Below are 21,760 nucleotides of genomic sequence, written 5' to 3' on the forward strand. Positions count from 1 at the left end.
GTTTTGAATGGCTCATGGGAGCTTAGCAAGAGAATGAGGAAGAAAGAAAGAAGGTGAGATGAGATTTAAAAAATAAAAAATTGTGCTGAGGCCAGAGGCATGAAACAACATATTAGGGTCAGAGAGTTTAAAGTGGTTTGGTAATGGTAGAGGGTAGGGTGAATGTTGGGACATGGTGAAGGATGAAACAAATAAACAAAGTAATAATAACATGCCCTAGTTTGACTTTCAGCCAATGAACAGCAAGGAGTCACTGAAGAATTTAAACAACAGAATGAGAAACTCAGATTTTTATTATTGAAAATTGTCATTCTGGCAGTAGCACGTGAAATGACTTGGAATGGGGAAGGCAGGGATCTCTCTGAACCTTCCTTAACAGTGGTCTTTGCTGACCTTTCCTCTCCTGCCTATTCTTTACATACCACCATGGCCCAAGAGCCAGGCCCTGGCCTCTTCTTGTCACTTTCTACAATTCCTTGGCCAATCTCATCCATTCCCATGATTCACGCATCTGTACAAGTGAGCTGGATCCCTCTCTTGAGAAATAGTCTGATGGTACACATTCACAGCAGCTTGGAGCAGAGGAATCTCAAAGTCCACATATCCAAGGAACAGAAGAAGCTCAACTCTGTGGATTCAGATCTGACTGACAACCCTCCAACTCATACCGTGAACTGAAATTAGTAATTGACCTTACCATCCCATCTAATAGGCAAGCCAGGAAATCAGAGGCCCTCCTAAATTTCTCTCTTTCTCTCACCACCCATTGCATTTTATCCCATCAATTTCAAATTAATACTTGTATTCTGTTAACTCAACCTATAATAGTCCCATCCCTCCCTTTCAGTGTGGAACCTGAAGAGCTTTTAAACTCTTATATAGATGTTAGAACTCCAATGCCCAGAGAGTCTGAGTTAAACGGTCTGGCATGAGGCTCAGGACTGGTATCTCTTAAATGTTTTTTAGGTGTTTTGGATGTGCAGCTATGAGTGAGAATCATTGCTCTCAGCCAAATAAACTGTTAGTGATTTGTCCATTGCTTCCACCTCCATGTTCTCTCTCATTCTCAGCCCATGGCATGTCCTTCAGCCATGTTAAAGGCATGGTAAGTTCTTGAATATGCCGATTTATTCCAAGCCTCCCTGCTTTGACTTATGCTATTCTCTATGTCTGCATTTCCTACCATTATCCTTCTCTATACACTTGAGCCTTCTCTCCTCAAGTAGAACTGATTATTCCTTCATTTTGCCTCAGCCCCTGAGGTCCTTCCTCATATTTTAGAGTATCTATAACTTCATTGCCTTTGTTCTTTACCTATCTATCTTCCCCGACCCTGGAAATCACTCTCTGAGTTGAGCGATCATCCAGTTTCATTCTTAGAAATATTTCAGAACCTTACATATAGAACAGACTCTCTCAAATGGTATGCTATTGATACTTTGGGCTGAGAAATCCTCTGTTGTAGGGATCCATCCTACAGCAGGATGTTTAGCAACATCCCTCGTCTCTACCCACTAGATGATAAGTAGCAACCCCTTCCCACTTGTGATAATCAAAAAGTGGCACATGTCTATAGTCCCAGCTACTCAGGAAGCTGAGACAGAAGGAGCTCTTGAAGTTGGCCAGCCTGTGCAACACAGCACGATCCTGTAAAAAAATGAAAAAACAAAAACAAACAAACAAAACCAATAACAACAAAAAAAAAACACCTACAAACATTGTCCAACTCTGGGGTGGGTGTGAGGAGGACAAAATCAACCCTGCTGAGGACAACTGAGATGCTAAAACTGATTGGTGGAGGACATGTAGAAAGTGTGGCTGCTTGTTATGCTGATGGTTTCTTTAAAACAAGCCTCCCTATGTAGTCCCCTCTTCTGTTGACTCAGGGCTTAGCCATGTGATTTACTTTGGTCAATAGGTCATCAACAAGGACAATGCCCACAGAGGCTTGAAAAAAGCTTGTTGTACTAGGGATTGCCCCTTTGGAGCTCAGCTACCATGTATAAAGCCCAGGCTAGTTTCCTCGAGGATGAGACACCACAAGAAAAGAGAGACACCCATACCACAAAGAGAAAGAAGCCCAAGTCTTCCAACATTCCAGTGAGGCCTGCTCCCAGTGTACCTGCTATATGAATATACCCAGGTGAGACCAGTAGTAGAATATCCCAGCCAAACCACAGGATCATGAGAAACAATAAATCATTATCTGTGACTTTATATTTAGAACACTCCATCATCTCAGCCCAAAAACTTATTGAACTGATAATAAATTTCAAGGAAGTCTCAGTATACAAAATAAATGTGCAAAGATAGCAATCATTCCTTTACACCAACAGTAGGCAAGCAGAGAGCCAAATCATGAATGAATTCCCATTCACAAATGCTACAAAGAGAATAAAATACCTAGGAATACAGCTAACAAGGGATGTGAAGGACCTCTTCAAGGAGAACTACAAACCATTGTTCAAGGAAATAAGAGAGGACACAAACAAATGGAAAAACATTCCATCCTCATGGATAGGAAGAATCAGTATCGTGAAAATGGCCACACAGCCCAAAATAATCTATAGATTCAATGCTCTTCCTATCAAACTACCTTTAACATTCTTCACAGAATTAGAACAAATCTACTTTAAATTTCATATGGAATCAAAGAAGACCCCATATAGCCAAGACAATCCTAAACAAAAAGAATGAAGCTGGAGGCATCACACTACCTGATTTCAAACTATACTACAAGGCTACAGTAACCAAAACAGCATGGCACTGGTACCAAAACAGACATATAGACCAATGGAGCAGAACGGAGACCTCAAAAATAACACCACACATCTACAATCATCTACAACTTAACAAAAACAAGCAATGGGGAAAGGATCTCCTATTTATTAAATGGTGCTGGGAAAACTGGCTAGCCATATGCAGAAAACTGAAACTGGACCCCTTCCTTACACCTTATACAAAAATTAACTCAAGATGGGTTAAAGAATTAAATGTAAAACCCAAAACCATAAAAACCCTAGAAGAAAACCTAGGCAATACCATTCAGGACATAGGCATGGGCAAAGACTTCATGACAAAATCGCCAAAAGCAATTGCAACAAAAGCCAAAATTGACAAATGGAATCTAATTAAACTAAAGAACTTCTGCACAGGAAAAGAAACTATCATCAGAGTGAACAGGCAACCTAAAGAATGGGAGGAAACTTTTGCATTCTACCCATCTGACAAGGTCTAATATCCATAATTTACAAGGAGTTTAAACATATTTACAAGAAACAAACAACCCCATTCAAAAAGTGGGCAATGGATATGAACAGACACTTCTCAAAAGAAGACATTTACATGGCCAACAAATATTTGAAAAAAAGCTCAACATCACTGATCATCAGAGAAATGCAAATCAAAACCACAATGAGATACCATCTCATATCAGTCAGAATGGCGATTATTAAAAAGTCAGGAAACAATAGTTGCTGGCAAGGCTGTGGAGAAATAGGAATGCTTTTACACTGCTGGTGGGAGTGTAAATTAGTTCAACCACTGTGGAAGACAGTATGGTGACTCCTCAAGGATCTAGAACCAGAAATACCATTTGACCCAGCAATCCCATTACTGGGTATATACCCAAAGGAATATAAATCATTCTACTATAAAGACACATGCACACATATGTTTATTGCAGCACTGTTTACAATAGCAAAGACATGGAATGAACCCAAATGCCAATTAATGATAGACTGGATAAAGAAAAAGTGGTACATATACACCTTGGAATACTATGCAGCCATAAAAAGGAATGAGATCATGGCCTTTTCAGGGACATGGATGAAGCTGGAAGCCATCATCATCAGCAAACTGCCACAGGAACAAGAAACCAAACACCCATGGTCTTGCTCATAACTGGGAGTTGAACATCTGTGACCAGATGGACACAGAGAGGGGAACAGCACACACCAGGGCCTGTTGGGGATAGGGGGTGAAAGGAAGGAACTTAGAGGACAGGTCATTAGGTGAGCAAACCACCATGGCACATGTATACCTATGTAACAAACCTGCACGTTCTGCACATGTATCCCTTTTTTTATTTTTTAGAAGAAATAAGAGAAAATATCATTGTCTGAAGCCACTAAGTTGTGGTGTGGTACATTATGTAGTAATACAGAATATGGAGGTCATTTTAAAAGTGCAGTGAAAGGAACTGAGAATCTGAACTAGGGCAGTGGTGGTGGGAATAGAAAGTGGTGTGGAATTTAGTTTAATGTTTTCTGTACTCTGCTGAGCAATCTACTAAGTACCCTGCAGGATTCACATTTATCAATAATTGATGATTTATACTTGTACACTTTTTTTAAAGATTTGAAAACCTTTATTACCTCAGTAATTATTTTCTTAAGTGTTTGCTATGCATTAGGCACTTTACAAGCATTAGTTCATTTAATCCTCGTAACAACACTATGAAGTGAGTCATACTATCAGTCCATTTTATAAATGAGGGAACCAAGGCTTATAAAATTAAATACTTGACCCCATCAAATAGCTAGTAAGTGGTGAAACCAGGATTCAGACTAAGCTCTGTCTGACTCCTGAAGAATTGCTTTTAAATATTCTTCTACATTTTCAAAAAAGTGTTTGGTGTAAGATCTTTATTTGATCTTTCTGGGAGTAGAGAAAAGCTATTTGCCATTCTTTTCATTCTCAACAATCCCTTTCCCAGGCTGAAGTTTCAGTTTAACAGGGAGTATTTTTATTGTGAATAACTGCAAGGTCAATTTGTGGTACATTTTCACTTCCTGAATGATACAAGTTTCAGGGAAATGGATGTGAGGGACATGAATTTCCAGTCTATATTAGCAGCCACCAAAGATTATTTGCTGTGAACTGATTAGCCCCTCATCTCCCTTCTCTTCTTCAAAATCTAAGGAACGTTCTGTCTTTTCCAGCACTTCGAGGACTTTTTGTGATTTAGAATGGGAAGCATGGGGCAGAGAGAAAGTCAACTTGAGTGGACAGAGCCAGAGGTGTGCTTCTGCTGAAGGTAGGGATTTGAGGGGTTAGCAGGAAGGAGAGGTCCCTAAGAGGGAATAAGTTCACATATGACCTTGCTATATATCAAGGTTATAGATTCCTTTACTTGCTCTATTTACAGCTTTCCCAAATGTTGCTCACACTATCTGAAGCCACATAACCAAGGATTATAAACTTTCTTGAGAAAGCATTACTAAACTTCCCCAGACTTGGCAAAGTACACGCTTAGCTGTTCTTATCGTGCCTACAGCTGTGGGGAGCTTTCTTTGAAGAGTCTCTCCTCCCCATCACCAAATGCAGTATCAGGAAATTCCACCTGAGAAACTATTGTTTTTTACACGTCATTTGAAATATGGCTTCTGAGATTTCAAATTAAATTAACAGCAGCCTGCAGTCTTGACTGCTTCTAGAAAAAACTGTGTATAAAAAGCCCAGCCATCTTTTGATCTAAAAGTTCTGTATATATTTAAATTTCCTAGTATCTCATGTTTACATTAGAAATGCCCATCTGGGTTTGCTGAATGAGGAATAATTGTGTGTCCATTTGTTTTTCTCTGATTTGTAGTTACTTCACTATCTCAAGATAAAAGAATATTTTACCTCGGTGAGAGAGGACTCAAGTTTTTTTGACAATGTCATTTGTGATACAGCCAAGGGCTTTATAACTGACTGTATACATCTAAGTGGCTATTTAACTGAAAAGAAAATAAATTTGGTTCAATGCTTGAGTCTATGCTAATGTCGACTGTGACAGAACTTTCCTTTCTTTACTCTCTAATCCAGCAGAGGGCACTGATCAAACATCAGTGGCTTTAAACCTAGACGCCTTGTTCACTGAATAGTTTATCAGTGCTATTAGATAATTTTTCTCTTCAAGCCATTATCTAACTGGAAGCAAACTTTGGAAAATGATGTGTACATTGGCCTTGGTAAATGGTTTATGGATTTAAAATAATAATTTTCAACACAACTGCACCCTGTATTCTCTATATTTTTGCCGTTCAGTACAGCAACCACTTGCCATGAGGGGTTACTGAGCACTTGAAATGTGACTAGTTTGAATTGAGATGTGCTGTTAGGCATGCAATACACACTGGCTTTTAAAGACTTAGTGCCAAAAAAAGAATGCAAAACGTCTCACTAGGTTTTTGTTGTTTTTGTTTTTTTAATTGGTGAAAAGTTGAAATCATGTTTTGGATACGTTGGGTTAAATATACGATTTAAATAAATTTTAGCTGTTTCTTTTCACTTTTTTAACTTTTCTACTAGAAAATTTAAAATGACAGATGTTGCTTGCATTGTATTTCCACTGTGAAGCACTGATCTCACTCTTAGAACACTTCTTTTCTTCTCTAAGAGTAAGTGTTTTCCAATTATACTGCCTATTTTGCGGTCCAAGCCCCTATTCTTGCTTTCCCTCAATGTTTCTCGTCTTCCCAGATGAATCCAGAAACCACAGGTCCCCAGTGGTACCTTGGCACTGTGAGAGTCACCTGAAAACTACCTTTAAAAAGTCAATGGCCAAGCCGGGCGCGGTGGCTCACACCCGCAACCCCAGCACTCTGGGAGGCCGAGGCGGGTGGCTTCCCTGAGCTCGGGAGTTCGCAGCCAGCCTGGGCAACACGGCCAAACCCCGTCGCTACTAAAATGCAAAGGACCAGCCGGGCGCGATGGCGGGCGTCTGTGGTCCCAGCCAGCGGCGAGGCTGAGGCGCGGGAACTGCGTGACCCCGGAGGCGGAGGTCGCAGTGAGCAGAGGCCGCCGCACTCCAGCCCGGGCGACGGAGCGGCGAGGCTGAGGCGCGGGAACTGCGTGACCCCGGAGGCGGAAGTCGCAGTGAGCAGAGGCCGCCGCACTCCAGCCCGGGCGACGGAGCGGCGAGGCTGAGGCGCGGGAACTGCGTGACCCCGGAGGCGGAAGTCGCAGTGAGCAGAGGCCGCCGCACTCCAGCCCGGGCGACGGAGCGGCGAGGCTGAGGCGCGGGAACTGCGTGACCCCGGAGGCGGAGGTCGCAGTGAGCAGAGGCCGCCGCACTCCAGCCCGGGCGACGGAGCGGCGAGGCTGAGGCGCGGGAACTGCTTGACCCCGGAGGCGGAGGTCGCAGTGAGCAGAGGTCGCCGCACTCCAGCCCGGGCGACGGAGCGGCGAGGCTGAGGCGCGGGAACTGCGTGACCCCGGAGGCGGAGGTCGCAGTGAGCAGAGGCCGCCGCACTCCAGCCCGGGCGACGGAGCGGCGAGGCTGAGGCGCGGGAACTGCTTGACCCCGGAGGCGGAGGTCGCAGTGAGCAGAGGCCGCCGCACTCCAGCCCGGGCGACGGAGCGGCGAGGCTGAGGCGCGGGAACTGCGTGACCCCGGAGGCGGAGGTCGCAGTGAGCAGAGGCCGCCGCACTCCAGCCCGGGCGACGGAGCGGCGAGGCTGAGGCGCGGGAACTGCGTGACCCCGGAGGCGGAGGTCGCAGTGAGCAGAGGCCGCCGCACTCCAGCGCGGGCGACGGAGCGAGACTCCTCGCGGGCAGCGGGGTAGTGGGGGCGGGGGGGGGCGCGGGGCAGGGCTTGGGGGAGGCCAAAGGCGACCTCTGAGCTCTTGTCCTTACCCTGGGAGAGTATGGAACTCAGAGAAATCATCTGACCCGGGTAATGTATGACAACAAGCAGGAAAGCTTTGCTTGAGAAAAAAAATGTCTTGTTTTAAATGCTGAGGCTTTGGGACCACAGTTTCATGATGAACAAACATTCACTGAACCCCCTACCTTATGCCAGAGGCTTTTCCATAATTATCTCCTTTAATTGTCACAAAAAAACTCGGCAAGTGTCAGAGTTATTGCCATGCTACAGAAGAAACATCGAGACTTAGAGAGGTGGGACAGCTTTGCCGAGACCACACTGAAGAGCGTGGTAAGTGGCAGAAGAGACCTTAAGAGCCAGCTTTGTTCAGCCTGCAGGATGCTCTCTCCACCTGCGACTGGCAGGTTAAGAAGACCCTGGGTCTGAGATGGTGATCGGCAGGCAGCCAGTGAATAGGCTCTGCTCACTATCGGGTGGTCACTAACCATATCCAGGAGCCAAAGCAGGGAGCTGGTAGCTTGGGAGCAGGGACATCACTTCTGACAGCAATGGGATGCTGAATAAATCAGTTATTGAACTAAAGAATAGAGAAAGAGAGAGAGAGAGCATGTAACATAAAAGTCTCCTCTTTTGTGATCTTAATAAGATAAATGTTTCATTGTTCTCACCTCTGATTGGGGCCTATTTTCAACAACAAAAGAACTGCTTTGGAACTATGACTATTCTGCTGATTAGACAAACTAGGTTCATTAGAAAGATCAAACAGAAAAGTTACAGAGAAAACAGAATTTACCAGCATAGTTCAGACTCAGGGGCTTACCACGGTTTCATTTTCTCCATAAGTGGATTCTTGAAACAGCAAAGAATTCTTTTCTGTCATCACCCCTCATGTTCTCTAAAGTAGAAACTGGGAATGCGTTGCTGTAATTGTGTTCATGGCATCTTTGTAATTTTCCAGGCCTTAAATGAGCCAGTCCAAAAGCAATACTGGTTCAGGCAAAATGAAACTTAGCCTTCCAAGAATACATATTTGGTAAAGGCTGAGCTGATTTTAATAGCTAATATTTATTGAGTGCTATTTCTGATGGTTATATGCAGTATTTCATTAAATCCTAATTCATTTTTAGACAGTAACACTGTTATTATCCCTATTTTACCAAAAAGGAAGCTGAGGCTCAGAAAGGTTACGTAATTTGCTATAAGTCATAGAACTCACCAGTGTGAGGATTGTCACCACTGACCCTTTTACTCAAGAGCTTTGACGCGTAACCATTACACCATGCTGTCTTCCTTAGAGAACATCTTGTTATCATGAAAAAAGTTATTTTCTTTCTCTGGCCCGTTAAAACAATACAAAAATCTATATCAATGGCATTTGCAATGCACCAGATACTTTTACCCTTTTCATTCTTTCACTAACAAAAAATTGATAGCAAATGTAAGCCCATGTATTTATGAAGGCAGTTGGTTCCTGCTCACTTCATTTTACCATTTGCTTTCACTTGAAGAAAGGAATAACTGAGAGCAACCTTTACTGCTATAATTGGATTTTTGTCATCAGATATGGTTTGGTTCAATTGTATCTTAGGAGAAATAATACACATTTGGGGTTTAGTTTATAGAATCTATTTTCTGTAACCTTAGAAGTCTTAAATTTTATCTAGGAATGCATTATATTCAACACTTTCAACTTGCATGTAACCTGCTAGGGGGAAAAAAAGGCTAATTTAAGAAGATCTTTCTAATCTTGTCTTCCAACCTTCACAGTGAACATACCCATCTGAAATTTGCATTTTTTGTCATCTTGAACTTTGCATAAAACTTCTAAAAATGTTCTTATCTATGAACTGCAGGAACCTGAAGAATAATTTTGTCTCCAAAATAATTACTGGAGCACTTCCATGTTCTTTGTGTTGTTGAGAAATTTTTTTTTTTTTAATGTATGCAGTTTTTAAAAAAATCTTTGTTTAAGGCCCTAAATATCATACATCTGGGATTCGATGAACAAGAGTTTGGGGAAAACCATTTATTATTATTATTATGCAGCTCATATTATAATTTTTTAATTTAACTTTTATTTTAAGTTCAGGAGTACATGTACAGGTTTGTTATACAGGTAAACATATGTCATGGGGTTTTGTTGTACCAATTATTTTGCCAACCAGGTATTAAGCCCTAGTACCTATTAGTTATTTTGCCTCATCCTCTCCCTCCTCTCACCTTCCAGCCTCTGATAGGCCTCAGTGTGTGTTGTTCCCCTTTATGTGTCCATGTGTTCTCATCATTTAGCTCCCACTTATAAGTGAGAACATGTGGTATTTGGTTTTCTGTTCCTGTGTGAGTTTGCTAAGGATAAGGGCCTCTAGCATGGAGCTTATATTTTAAAGAAAACTGATGAGTTGGCCCCAGTTGTGGAATGAAGAGTTTTCAGCTTGTGTTGGGAACCAAAAAGGCTGTTAAGTGTAGTTCAAGAGTTAAAACAAGGCAGGGTAATAGAACATTTTACCGATGGCTTACTAGTTTCTAGTAAAAATGAAACTCATCCCCTAACTGTGGAAATTCAACGTAACTGTGGAGTCTCATAAAATTATACTGTGAGCTATTATGACAAACCCAAAAGGAAAAAATATGCAATTTAAGAAACATATTCTGAATATACTTTTTAAGAAAAATCTAAATTCTTTAAAAATGGTGTGACAATCAGCAGAAGGAATTATGGTAGATTCTTCTAGTAATAGAAAATAGTATTTCTATTATTAGGCAACAGACAGTTTTGTGGATTTGTATTATCCATCTCAAGAATTTTCATAAAAGCCTGATTTTCTTTTGCTTTTTAAAAATGTCCTATCCTGACTGACCCTCTTAAGGTCAGACTTGAAGAACAAGCTTCTTACTTGATACTCCTTAAGTGTCTAAAACAGTGTTTATAAACTTTCATCTACATGTGAATTACCAGAGTGCATTGTTAAAATGCAAATGCTGATTCAACTGAGATGGGGCCTGAGATTTGCCATTTCCAGCAAGCTTGCCTGGGATGCCCTCACTGCTGGCAGGCAGACTTCACTTTGTGTGGCGATGCAGGGGAGCCCTGACAATTCCAGCCTTGCCTTCCCTCTTTGTTCCTATTCGATCCATCCACAAACCTATTGGCTCTGCCCTCAAAATCTATCCAGAATATAATCACTTCTCACCCAACTGCATAGCTAAGACCTCAAGCCAAGCCACCATCATTCCCTTCCTAATCTCTGCCTTGGCTTCCTAAATGACATCTGTCATTGACTGTTGCCCTTGAAGAATATTTTTCACACGAACGGCAGAGAGATCTTTCTCCAAACATAAATTAAATCAAACCTATTCCTTATTATTTCCTAATTGTTTCCCAGCCCATTAATACCCAAACCTAAACTGTTTGCCATCAATAAGACCCTCCCTTATCTGACCTGTTTCCTGTTCCACCTTGTCTGCTACTTTTCTCTGATTTTCACTCCATTTCAGCCAGACCAGCTGACATGTTATTCCTTTAAAACACCATGTGCATTCTTACCTCAGGGCCTTCGTATTTGCTCTTCCTTCTTTCTGGAAAGTACATTCTATAAATCTTTGAATGACTCCTTACCTGATGCCATTCAGGTCTCTATTCCAATATCTGCTCTTGAAATAAACCTCCCCATACCCTGTTTACAATACTGCCCCAGTTATTATGGATGTGTAGCTGAAAAAGTTTAGTGGTTTAAAACAAAAATATTTATTTTGCTTTTCAATTTGCAGTCTGAGCAGGGCTTGGTGGGAACAGCTCTTTTCTGCTCCACTCAACTTTGGCTGAGGAAGGTGGCTAAAAGGCTGGGGAATGGAATCATCTGAAGGCTCACTCACCCACAAGCCTGACACCTGGACTGAGAAGACTCAACATCTGGGGCTCCTCAAGCATCTGTCTGTGTCTCTATGTGGCATCACGTCAGGGTCTCTTTATCGTAGTTGCTTCAGGTTAGCCAGACTCCAGGATCACAGGTGGAGAGGCAGAGAGGAGAGGAGAAAGAGACACAGAAAGAAAAAGAGAGACAGAGTACTAGGTGGAAGCCAAATGGCCATTTGTGACTCAGCTTTGGAAGTTACTCATACAGTATCACCTCTGCTTTCTTCTTGCCTGCCAAGTTCTATTAGTTGGAGGCAAGTCACTAAGGATGGCCCACATTCAAGGAAAAAGGAATTAAATTCCACCTTTTGGAGGAGGAATGCCAAAGAATTTGAAAACATTTTGCAAAACCCATCACATGGTCCAACTGTTCAACCAAGATTCTGCCTTATTTTTCTTCCTAGTGCTGATCACGTGGATCTCTTGTCTGTTCCTCCTACTGGAAATGTTAAGTCCCATGAGAGGAGGGACTTGGTCTTCTTTACTGCTGCTTCACCAGTGACTCAAAACTGCTGGGCAAAGAGTAGACATTCACAAGTACTGGTTGGGTCAATTTATTTATTTAATGAACCTGTTTTCTCTGCAGAACTCAGTTCAATTCCTGCTTAATAATATTACTAATGAATTAATATATGAAATCTTCTTAGAATAATGCAGGGCCCCGTGGTCTGTGCTCAGTTAATTCTAGGAACTGTCCCTAATAAGAGCTAACATAGATAGTGTGTTTAGTATCCACTGAGCTCCTCATGTAGGTTACTTTTTTTTAATCTCCCAGGAAATCCATGAGATGATACTGTGATTACACCCTTACTTCACATAGCTACTTAGTGACTGGAACTCAGAACTGATCCTGCCTAATTCCAAAGTACAAGCTCTCATTCTTCCTCTATGGTGCATTTTGATCATTTATATGGGCAAGGTGGAAAGTAAGTGATTTTGGATTAAGACACAGAGCCTTATCCTGGCTCTTCTATTTCACCTCTTTTAGCCTCAGTTTTCCCATTTGTAGAATGGGGATGATAATGATATCTATCTGAGAGGGCTAGTGTACAGTTCAAATGTGAGCTACATCTGTGAGTGGCTTGCCAATAATATAGTGCTAAAGGAATATGTTAAAATAATTGGTTGAGAGGCCATTAGGCTGAGGCAGCTCCAGCACTCTGGGTTCTATCTAAGCAAGTTGAAACCTGATTCACTGGAAATAGTAACACAAAACTTAAGCTTAACCAGTCAGAAGCTGCCAAATAAGCTCTCAATAGGAACTTTCCACTTGAATGATTCAAATAAGGCCACTGCTCCACTTCAACCAGTGAAATATTTTCTTTGCCTTGTTTCCACATTCACCCTGTAAAAGCCTGTAACTCATACTCCTGTTGGTGGAACCCCCAACCACCTGTGGTCTGGAATTGCCTGATTTATAAATTGCTGTTAGCTCAAAGAAACTGTTTGTATTTTAATGTGCTTCAGTTTATCTTTTAACAGTAAAATATAATCTTTAATATTTTACTATGTATCCTAATCATTGCTATAGAAATCTGTATGCATATTTTATTCTAATTTTAAGTTTTTGGTTCCTAGTATAAGATTGACTGTACTTGTCTATTTCAGTGTCTTAGACAGAACAAGGTTTTGGTAATCATTTCAGGAATTAACGGGTAATTCCAACACTCATGGTGTGAAGAGTGCCCCTAAAATTAAGAAAAAATGCATATTCTTTATATTTATTTGAAACAAATTATCTCAAATTCTTTCAGAAGTGAATAGATCAACTGTTAAAAAGTAGAAAAACAATTGGCTTACTCTGCATGGAATCATGAAAGTGTGAAGATGGAAAAGAACAGAGGCATAGTTCAAAATCCTGATAAATCACTTAATAGAAAGGACAATTTTGTAAATGTTTTTATTTTAAACTTTCACTTCCTCACATGTAAAATGAAGTTGATAGTACTAACCTCATATGTTGGATTAAATGGTATAATGTAAATAGATGTACTTTGCAATATGTAAGTTATTGCATAAATATAAGGCATCATCATCTATTTCTTATAAGTCTAGGCTAATTTCTACTTATCTTAGAAAACGAATATTACCCTGGGGATTCTTCGAAGAAGTAACTAAACATCATTTTAGAAATTCCTGAAAACATGTATTTTAAAATTATAAAAATGAAATAGTGAAGCTTATTAATGGAATAAATGCTTTTGCTTTTCATTGTAAAGAAAATTGTTCTGATATGAATATATTGCCCACAAGTGCTGTAATGGAGGCCTTGCAAATCCTTGATATTTTATTCTTTCTTAAGTGTACCAGGTAAAAATAAGGCATGCCCTGGGATGAATTCTGCAAATTTTCTCCCAAGTATCATCCTCCAGCTGATTCCCACTCAAAGATATTTGATTTTGTTTGGGATAATGTCTTAATTTGGGCTTCTATAACAAATTACCATAGACTGGGTGGCTTAAACAATAAACATCTATTTCTCACAGTCGGGAGGCTGGAAAGTATAACATCAAGGGACTGGCAGATCCAGCGTCTGGTGAGGGATGCTTCCTGGTTTGCAAATGGCCATCTTCTCATTGTATCCTCACATGGCAGAGAGTAGAGAGAGCAAGAGCAAGCTCTGGTGTCTTCTTTTAGAAGGGTTCTCTTCTCATGGCCTAATCACTTCTCAAAGGCCCTACCTCCTAATACCATCATATTGTGGGGTAGGATTTCAACCTATGAATTTGGGGGATGAGAATACAAACATTCGGTCCATAGCATGATCAGCCCCAAAGGCCAGTGTGTGATACATTTTCGTTAATTGTGCGTATCCTAGTTTTTTTTTTTTTTGCAAAACACATGTTTTCCTAGTCATGCATAGCTGGAATAGACCTTGTAATAAAATTTTGTCAGTGAAGTGTAAGTGGAGGTTTGCCAAGGGACTTCTGAGGAGGGGACACTTTCTGATAAGAACCACACTTAAGAAATCTCAATAGCTATGCTCCTTTCCATTCCTTCCTCGTTGAGACATCAATGACTCTCTAACATTTGTAACCATGAGGAATGGACTAAGAAAATAGAAATATCTCTTTATGTAATGGAATCCTGATGTAATTGAGCCTCTCAATAACCCTTGTACTATCTATCTACCTACTTACTATCTTTAGTAAATAATAAAAATTCTGTGATTAAGGCCACTGTAGTTATTTGGTTGCTGTTGTGGTTACTTGGAGATGACTGCATATTAACTGATATATGCTATAGTATCTCTCTAGGAAAGAGTAATCATAAAGCAAGGGATTTCTGTACTGTGTTAAAATAGTTTGATTCTAGCAAAAGTTGAAATAAAGAAAAACATATAATCTCTACAACAAAAAATATTGCTCCATAAAAATATTTTACATGAAGACTCTGTGAGTCCCTAAATAACTTCAGAAATTAGAAATTCTAATTTCTCTGAGATTTTCTTCATTCTTTGGCCAGACAAACAGCATCCCAGAGAACTTCTTTTTCTCATTAAAATATGAATAAAATTTCACTAGTTAAGTATGGTATGACCAATTAAAAATAAGAACAATGTGCAGTGAGCTGAGATCGTGCCACTGCACTCCAGCCTGGGGCAAAGAACAAGACTCTGTCTCAAAAAAAAAAATAAAATAAAATAAATAAAATAAAAACAATGAAAATAACAATTTTCAGATTACTGTTCATCAAACATACTAACTTACCGGTTTTGTACTCTGGTCAATGCTATTTAAAAATTCCTTCGTTTTGAAAGATTTTTCTCCTTCAAGTTCTCTGAAGGGACTGAAAGTTCAAGGCATCTGGATTTAAGAGAGTTAAAAATTGGATGGCAAAGTGACCCCAAAAAAGTTAGAAACAAGATTAAGATTTTGATAACCCAAATTAGGGAGTTAGGCATCATCTTTCATAGGAGCAATAATGAGACATTGCATTATCTTATTCAGGGAGAGATTTTAATGTGATGAACATATTAAAGGAACCATGCTGGCCACAGGATAAAGAGTCATCTAGATGGGGCGAGATAGGGAAAAGTGACCACTCGGTTGTTGTCATAATTTGGGCAAGATAGTGATAACCTAAATGTGGTACTAGAAAGTGAACTGGCAACAAGTGCAACAATTACAGGCATTAAAAAAAAAGGATATACAATCATCCCTTGGTATCCATGGGGATTGGTTCCAGTAACCCTGCAGATAACAAAATCCAAGGATACTGAAGTCCCTGATATAAAATGGTGTAGTCTTTGCCCATAATGTATCTCTCTTCGTGTGTTTAAAATCATCTCTAGACTACTTATTATGCCTAATGCTATGTAAATGCTATGTAAATAGTTTGTATACTCTATTTTTTAAATTTGCATTTTTATTGTTATATTGCTGTTCTTTTATTTTTATTTTTCATATATTGATCTACAGTTGGTTGCATCTGCAGATGTGGAGACAGTGGACACAGAATCTGCTGATAATGGAGGGCTCACTGTATAAGCAAACAGACAGAAGTTTGTGCCATATTAGACATGGACATAGAGGGAGTGGGAATAGCTACAATGACAGAAATACTTGGATTTCTGGCTTAAGAAAACTAGACAGAAGTCAGTGGTACTGTTCACTGGGATTGCTTAACTAGGCCAAATGCTGCAGAGAAATAAAATTAAAATAGAAGGGAACAGGTATAGAAGGTCTTGGTATTTATATTAAGAACTTGGTCTACATGGGGGAAGAGTAGAGGGGATTCCAGATGTTTGTGGCTTGAAGAGGGACTAGACAGTAAGTTGATAGGTAAGTGGAGGCAGATACATCTTGAAGATGTGGAGAAAGAGAGGGGCAAACTGAAGGAAAATGGAAAGTTAAGGCTGAAAGAAAACTTTGGTTTGAATAGGAGAGAGCCAAGTAAGTTTCATGGATCCAACCTGAACAGTTGGTTATCTTCATTCTCTTCTCTTACACATCAAATACTAAAACAAGCAAAAAACATCTTCTGTTATTTTCCTTTCTTTTAGGCTCACTCTGTGGCATTGCAGACAATACAAGGAAAGATGGTTTAACCTTAGGAGAATTGAATCCCAGGGGCAGCACTGTGACTCAGAAACCAAAAGGGACCATTTCTTATTTGAAATCAGCCATGCAACTTCACCGGTTTTACAATGACTCTAGCCACCTCTTCCTTAGCAGACACTTCCGGGGCTACTACTGCTTGTTATCTGGGTCCTTTCCCTTTTGACCACAGATCCTCCTGGAATCTCCAGTGTGAGCCTTCCTTTCCTCCTCCTGTGTCTTCTTTACTTTGACATAAACCAGTTCAGTTTTTGTTTCACTTTCTCTTGTTAAAGACACATGCATTTCTAAAAATAAAGGGTCAAATACTTTACCTATAGAAATGTATATCAGCTTTGGAAGCTGATGGCATTTGTGGCACTGATGGCTCTGTGTTCATTAAAAAAAAAAAGTATTTCCTTTTCTTCCTGGTGGTTAGCTACCTATCCAGCCTTTTATGCAATTAAGGGAGATCATATTATGCAATGTGCCCTGTGGACTGAAATGCTATGTGTCACCTTGCATGGTCATGTGTTTTCACATATCCTTTTTTTTCTGCTTTCAGGTGGCTGGAATGGCTTTAACCCCAAGGCCGTATTTGGAAGCCACTTGTTTAAAATTAAGGAGCCAGAAGCTAGAAAGAGCTCCTGTCTCTGATTCACCACCTAGGGGAGCACTATCTAACTATCAGAAATTTTTATCAGCAGGAAATAAACTTCTATTGTGTTAAGCCTCCAAGATTCCAGGGTTTATCCATTAAAAAACAACCAAAATACTAACAAATAGATTATTCATTCATGATGGTAACATTTGCCATACATTGACTTAATACCAAACACTGCATAAGTAGTATATCATTTAATTGTCTTATCAGCTGCATGAAGTAGGTATCATTCTCCTTATTTTATAGATAAGGAAGGAGTCTATGTTTCACAGTGTTAAATAAACTGGTCCTGACAGCCCCTGATAACTTCTTAAAGGCTATGTAGAGTCTCAGAGTTTTTACTTAAAAGATTATTATAGAACAAAGCACAGGGATGTTTGCTTCAGCCTCATAGAGAAAGTAAGTTCCTCATTCATTTTAAATCTGTATGTATAAAACACTTGGAGACAGTGTAATCAATATATAATTATGTATAGTATTGCAATTCATAATACTTGAAAAATTATATGTTCTAACATGTATATGCAAGGTCAAATTCTAGAGTATCTTTTAAAACAATAAAAAAGGAAAAGATTCCTTTTTCTAAAAATAAGTCCAAGATATAGGAGTATGTCATCTAATAAAAACTTTCCAGATATAGCTTTTACTTGACATAACCTATTTAAAATGTACAACTCAAAACCAACCTGGTTTGACCTAAGCGTATATGCTCAAGTATCGCACGCACGATCTTGAATATTCACATTACGGTTCATTGAAAAGGCAATGGGCTTTGCAACAAGGTTGACAACAAAAGGAAAAATGATGAAGAAAATTGCCTCACTTATCTGCTACAGTACTCTTGATTGCCAAGTGTAATTTCATGGTTCATTATAAGAGACGGAAAAGTTTGACCATTAACTTGAGTACTTGTATATCCTATTGATACAAAGAATAAGTTGCTTGAAACACACTTGGTTTTTAATGAAGCCACTGTAATTTTGTGTTTTTAAAGCATCATCAATTTTCATCAGTTTTACCCCTGCTGGAGTTTTATGCGGGTAAAATAGTTAAAGGTCGTCAGACACTGTGGGACGTAAAACAACTGTAGAAAAATGAAGATGTTAAAGTGACACAGGGGTGACATGAGTTATTTTCTGAGTTACCACTTGACATAGTGTGAGATTTGACTGGGTAATTGAGGTAAATAGCGTTGCTGTTACAGATGTCATATGATAGATCAGATAGGGGTCAGATAACTTAACAAGTTTAATCATCCTTTAACACAGGGGAACACTGCTCCACATTTCTATGGGGAATGCACCCATTTAAAGTTATGTTTCTCCATTCTAGTAAATATTCCTAAACTTTAATTCCCTAAAGGACACTCCACTGTTCAAAAACACTTTAATAGCTTCTCATTATCTAGCACGGCGTTGTTCAAAACTGTAGCCGCCAACCACATGTGGACTGTTTAAATTACACTCAGTGAAAATTAAAATTCAGTTTCTCTGTCACAATATGCAAATTTCAAGTGTTCAACGCCTTCAAGTGGCCAGTGGCTACTGTATTAGACAATGCAACTCTACACAGTTTCCATCAACTCAGAATGTTCTATTTGATAGCTTATATCTAGAACTGGACTATCCAACATGGTAGTCCTGGCCACATATGGAGATTGAGTGCTTGAAATGTGGCCAAACTTGAGATGTGCCATCCATGTAAATTACATACTAGATTTGGAAAACATAGTTCAAAAAGAATACTGCAAAATAGTTCATTAATAATTTTCTATGCTACTTACATGTTGAACAATACTTTATATATACTTTTAAATAAGATACAGTACTAAATTTAATTTTATCTGTTACTTTTTAAACTTTTAAAACATGACAACTAGAAAATTTAAATTTATTTATTTATTTTGAGATGGAGTCTCGCTCTGTCACCCAGGCTGGAGTGCAGTGGTGCGATCTCAGCTCACTGCAACCTCTGCCTCCCGGGCACAAGTCATTCTCCCACCTCAGCCTCCCAAGTAGCTGAGATTACAAGTGCATGCCACAACACCTGGATAATTTTTGTATTTTTGGTGGAGATTGGGTTTCACCATGATGCCCTGGCTGGTCTCAAACTCCTGACCTCAAGTGATCCGCCCACCTCAGCCTTCCAAAGTGCTGGCATTACAGGTGTAAGCTACCATGTCCAGCTTGGAAAATTTAAATTTAGTTATGTGGCTTGCATTATAGTTCCATTGGACAACGCTGACCCATAATGACAAAGTCTATATGATAAAGGCCTGAAAGGACATACCCGTAGTGCAACAAAGTGGGGCTTCTTAACTTGCTGTCCACTGGAGGAACTATGGGGGTGCTCGCCAAGCAGAGGAAGAGACACAGTTACAGTAGGGGTCTGTGGAAGAGCAAAATTTAAGAGAAACTTAAATGATGTAGTATTTTGGTAGAATCAAGCAAAGGAGGGAGGGCTGTTTATAGAGGAATTAAACTTAGGCCCAGGCTAAGAAGCAGACATTTATTGTAGCTTTGAAAACTACAAAGTAAAGATAAATATGGCATGTATTTAAAAACCCTTTATTTGAAATTCTTAATTAAGTTGAAAATTGAGACTGTATTTGTGGGCCAAAGTGACTCAGTCCAGTCAAAGGTGGAATGCTCCACTCTTACTAATAGATGATTCTTCACCATTACGTTCTTTCATTAATCATCAAAAGGAGTGTTTACGAGTTCATCATAGAATAAAATTCGTATTTCTTGGCATAGCGTTAAAGTCCATCCATGATCTGACTCTGTGGTTCCCAGTAATATTGCGTGCTATGATTCCTCATACACACTGTGATCATGCAGAAATGTTCTCAAAGCTTGCCCTGTTCTTGCTAACACTTTAATTTGCTCATATTACTTCTCTTCTGCTAGAAGGTTCTTCCCGCTCCTTCTGTTGAAATACTTCAAGGCTCAGTTCTATAATCACAGCTTCTTCTAAAGTCTTCCCAGATTTTATCCTTTATAGTAAAGCAAGCATCAAACAAATATCCCAGAACATTTGGCTTTGACGTACCAGGGGTAAATGAGGGGCACACTTTCTACTTTGTGAGATGCTTATTTGGTCATGTTCCCTCTAGGCTGCCTGTCACTTGTCCAGCTCCTGAAAAGCAGAGGACATGCCCTGTTTGTGCATTTTTCCCCTCCCCATAAAAGCAGTTCATTTCACATGGGAAGTTCTCAAAAAATTTTGATGAATGAATAATTATTCTTATAAAAAGAGAAAATGTAATTATGTTGGTAGTGAAAAAAAAATCATGTGTAGCTTAGGCCTAGGCAGATCCTATGACCTCCACTTATTTTCTCTTTGCAAGCACAGCTCCAAGTAATTCAGTAACTATACACAGACTGAAGAAATGATGACATCAGACCTGGCTTTGCCTATACTTGAATGCATTTAGTTGTTTTGGTGCTTCACACCTGAATTTCAGTTTGCCTGCATAGAACACACACACACACTCAGACACATACATGGTCTACATCTGTGCATGCTGGAGGGAGAGAGAGGAAGAAAAGCATGGTCTTTGTTTTAGAGGGTTAGTGCTGACTCAAGATGCCTGAAAGTTTCCTATTATACCACCCTGCCTATGTCTTATGTGATAACAGCTATCAACATTCATACCAATATCAGACTGACTCAAAAGCAGTCTCTGGTTTATTCACTCATTCATATCATTTACTATGCATATAATTCATGCTAGACTTTGCTTGTTAATGCATTTATATGATGGGAAATTATTCTAAGCACATATTTTGCAGGCCATATTTAAGCATAGAAAAGGCAGATTAAAAGGCAGTGTTCTTTGAGGATCTGTTGCAAAATTATCTTACCAGTACCCATAATATCAAAAATCCTCATTTGTCTCTGCAATTATAAATATATCTTAACATAGGAAATGCTACTAAAATACTAAAAAGAGCAATGAGCTAGGGAACACAAGGTTGGTGTCCCACCTGATTTGTTAGCCATGTGATTTGATAAATATTAATTTCTCATTTTTAGGACACCTTGTACCCATTTCCTCTTCTAAGAAAACATAATAAAGCATTGTTCTTTACCTTCTTAATGATAAGAATCACGAAAGAAAGATTGCAAAGCCTGGTCCGTGGGGATTATGATTCAGGGGGTGTAGAGAGAAATCTAGAAATCTGTTGTGTTGTGTTTTGTTTTTATTAAACGTCCTGGTGATTGTAAAGAAAGTTTGAAAAACTCTGATTTAGACCTGGCTTCACACTTCAAAGTGTGTAAGAACCACCAGGAGGCTTGTTAAAAAATGCAAATTGTGGGGTCTCACCTCTAATGATTCTGATTCAGCAGATCCGAGATGGGGCCCAGGAATCCGAAATTTTAATGAGCATTTCCAGGGAATTCTGATGCACATTCACAGATCACAGTTTGAGAAATACAGATCTCAACTGTGACTTTTGGGAGGTTAGAGATTGTCTAGTTCATGGCCATAATTTCAGCAACCAGAGCAGAGTGGTTGCTCACAGCTAATGCAGAATTAAGTCAAA

General features: G+C 39.7%; 2 long non-coding RNA genes across 2 annotated transcripts; both read left to right on the top strand.

Moving 5' to 3' along the window:
* The first annotated feature begins 7,578 nt into the window (after positions 1 to 7,578).
* LOC105376922 (uncharacterized) lies at positions 7,579 to 14,681 on the top strand. Its single transcript, XR_940538.2, has 2 exons — positions 7,579 to 7,924; positions 11,363 to 14,681. It is a non-coding gene; the product is annotated as an uncharacterized LOC105376922 (long non-coding RNA).
* Positions 14,682 to 15,111: 430 nt separating this feature from the next.
* Positions 15,112 to 17,284, top strand: LOC124909337 (uncharacterized). Its single transcript, XR_007095783.1, has 2 exons — positions 15,112 to 16,759; positions 17,112 to 17,284. It is a non-coding gene; the product is annotated as an uncharacterized LOC124909337 (long non-coding RNA).
* The last annotated feature ends 4,476 nt before the right edge of the window (positions 17,285 to 21,760 follow it).

This window comes from Homo sapiens, chromosome 3 (genome assembly GCF_000001405.40).
Source record: "Homo sapiens chromosome 3, GRCh38.p14 Primary Assembly".
NCBI lineage: Eukaryota > Metazoa > Chordata > Mammalia > Primates > Hominidae > Homo > Homo sapiens.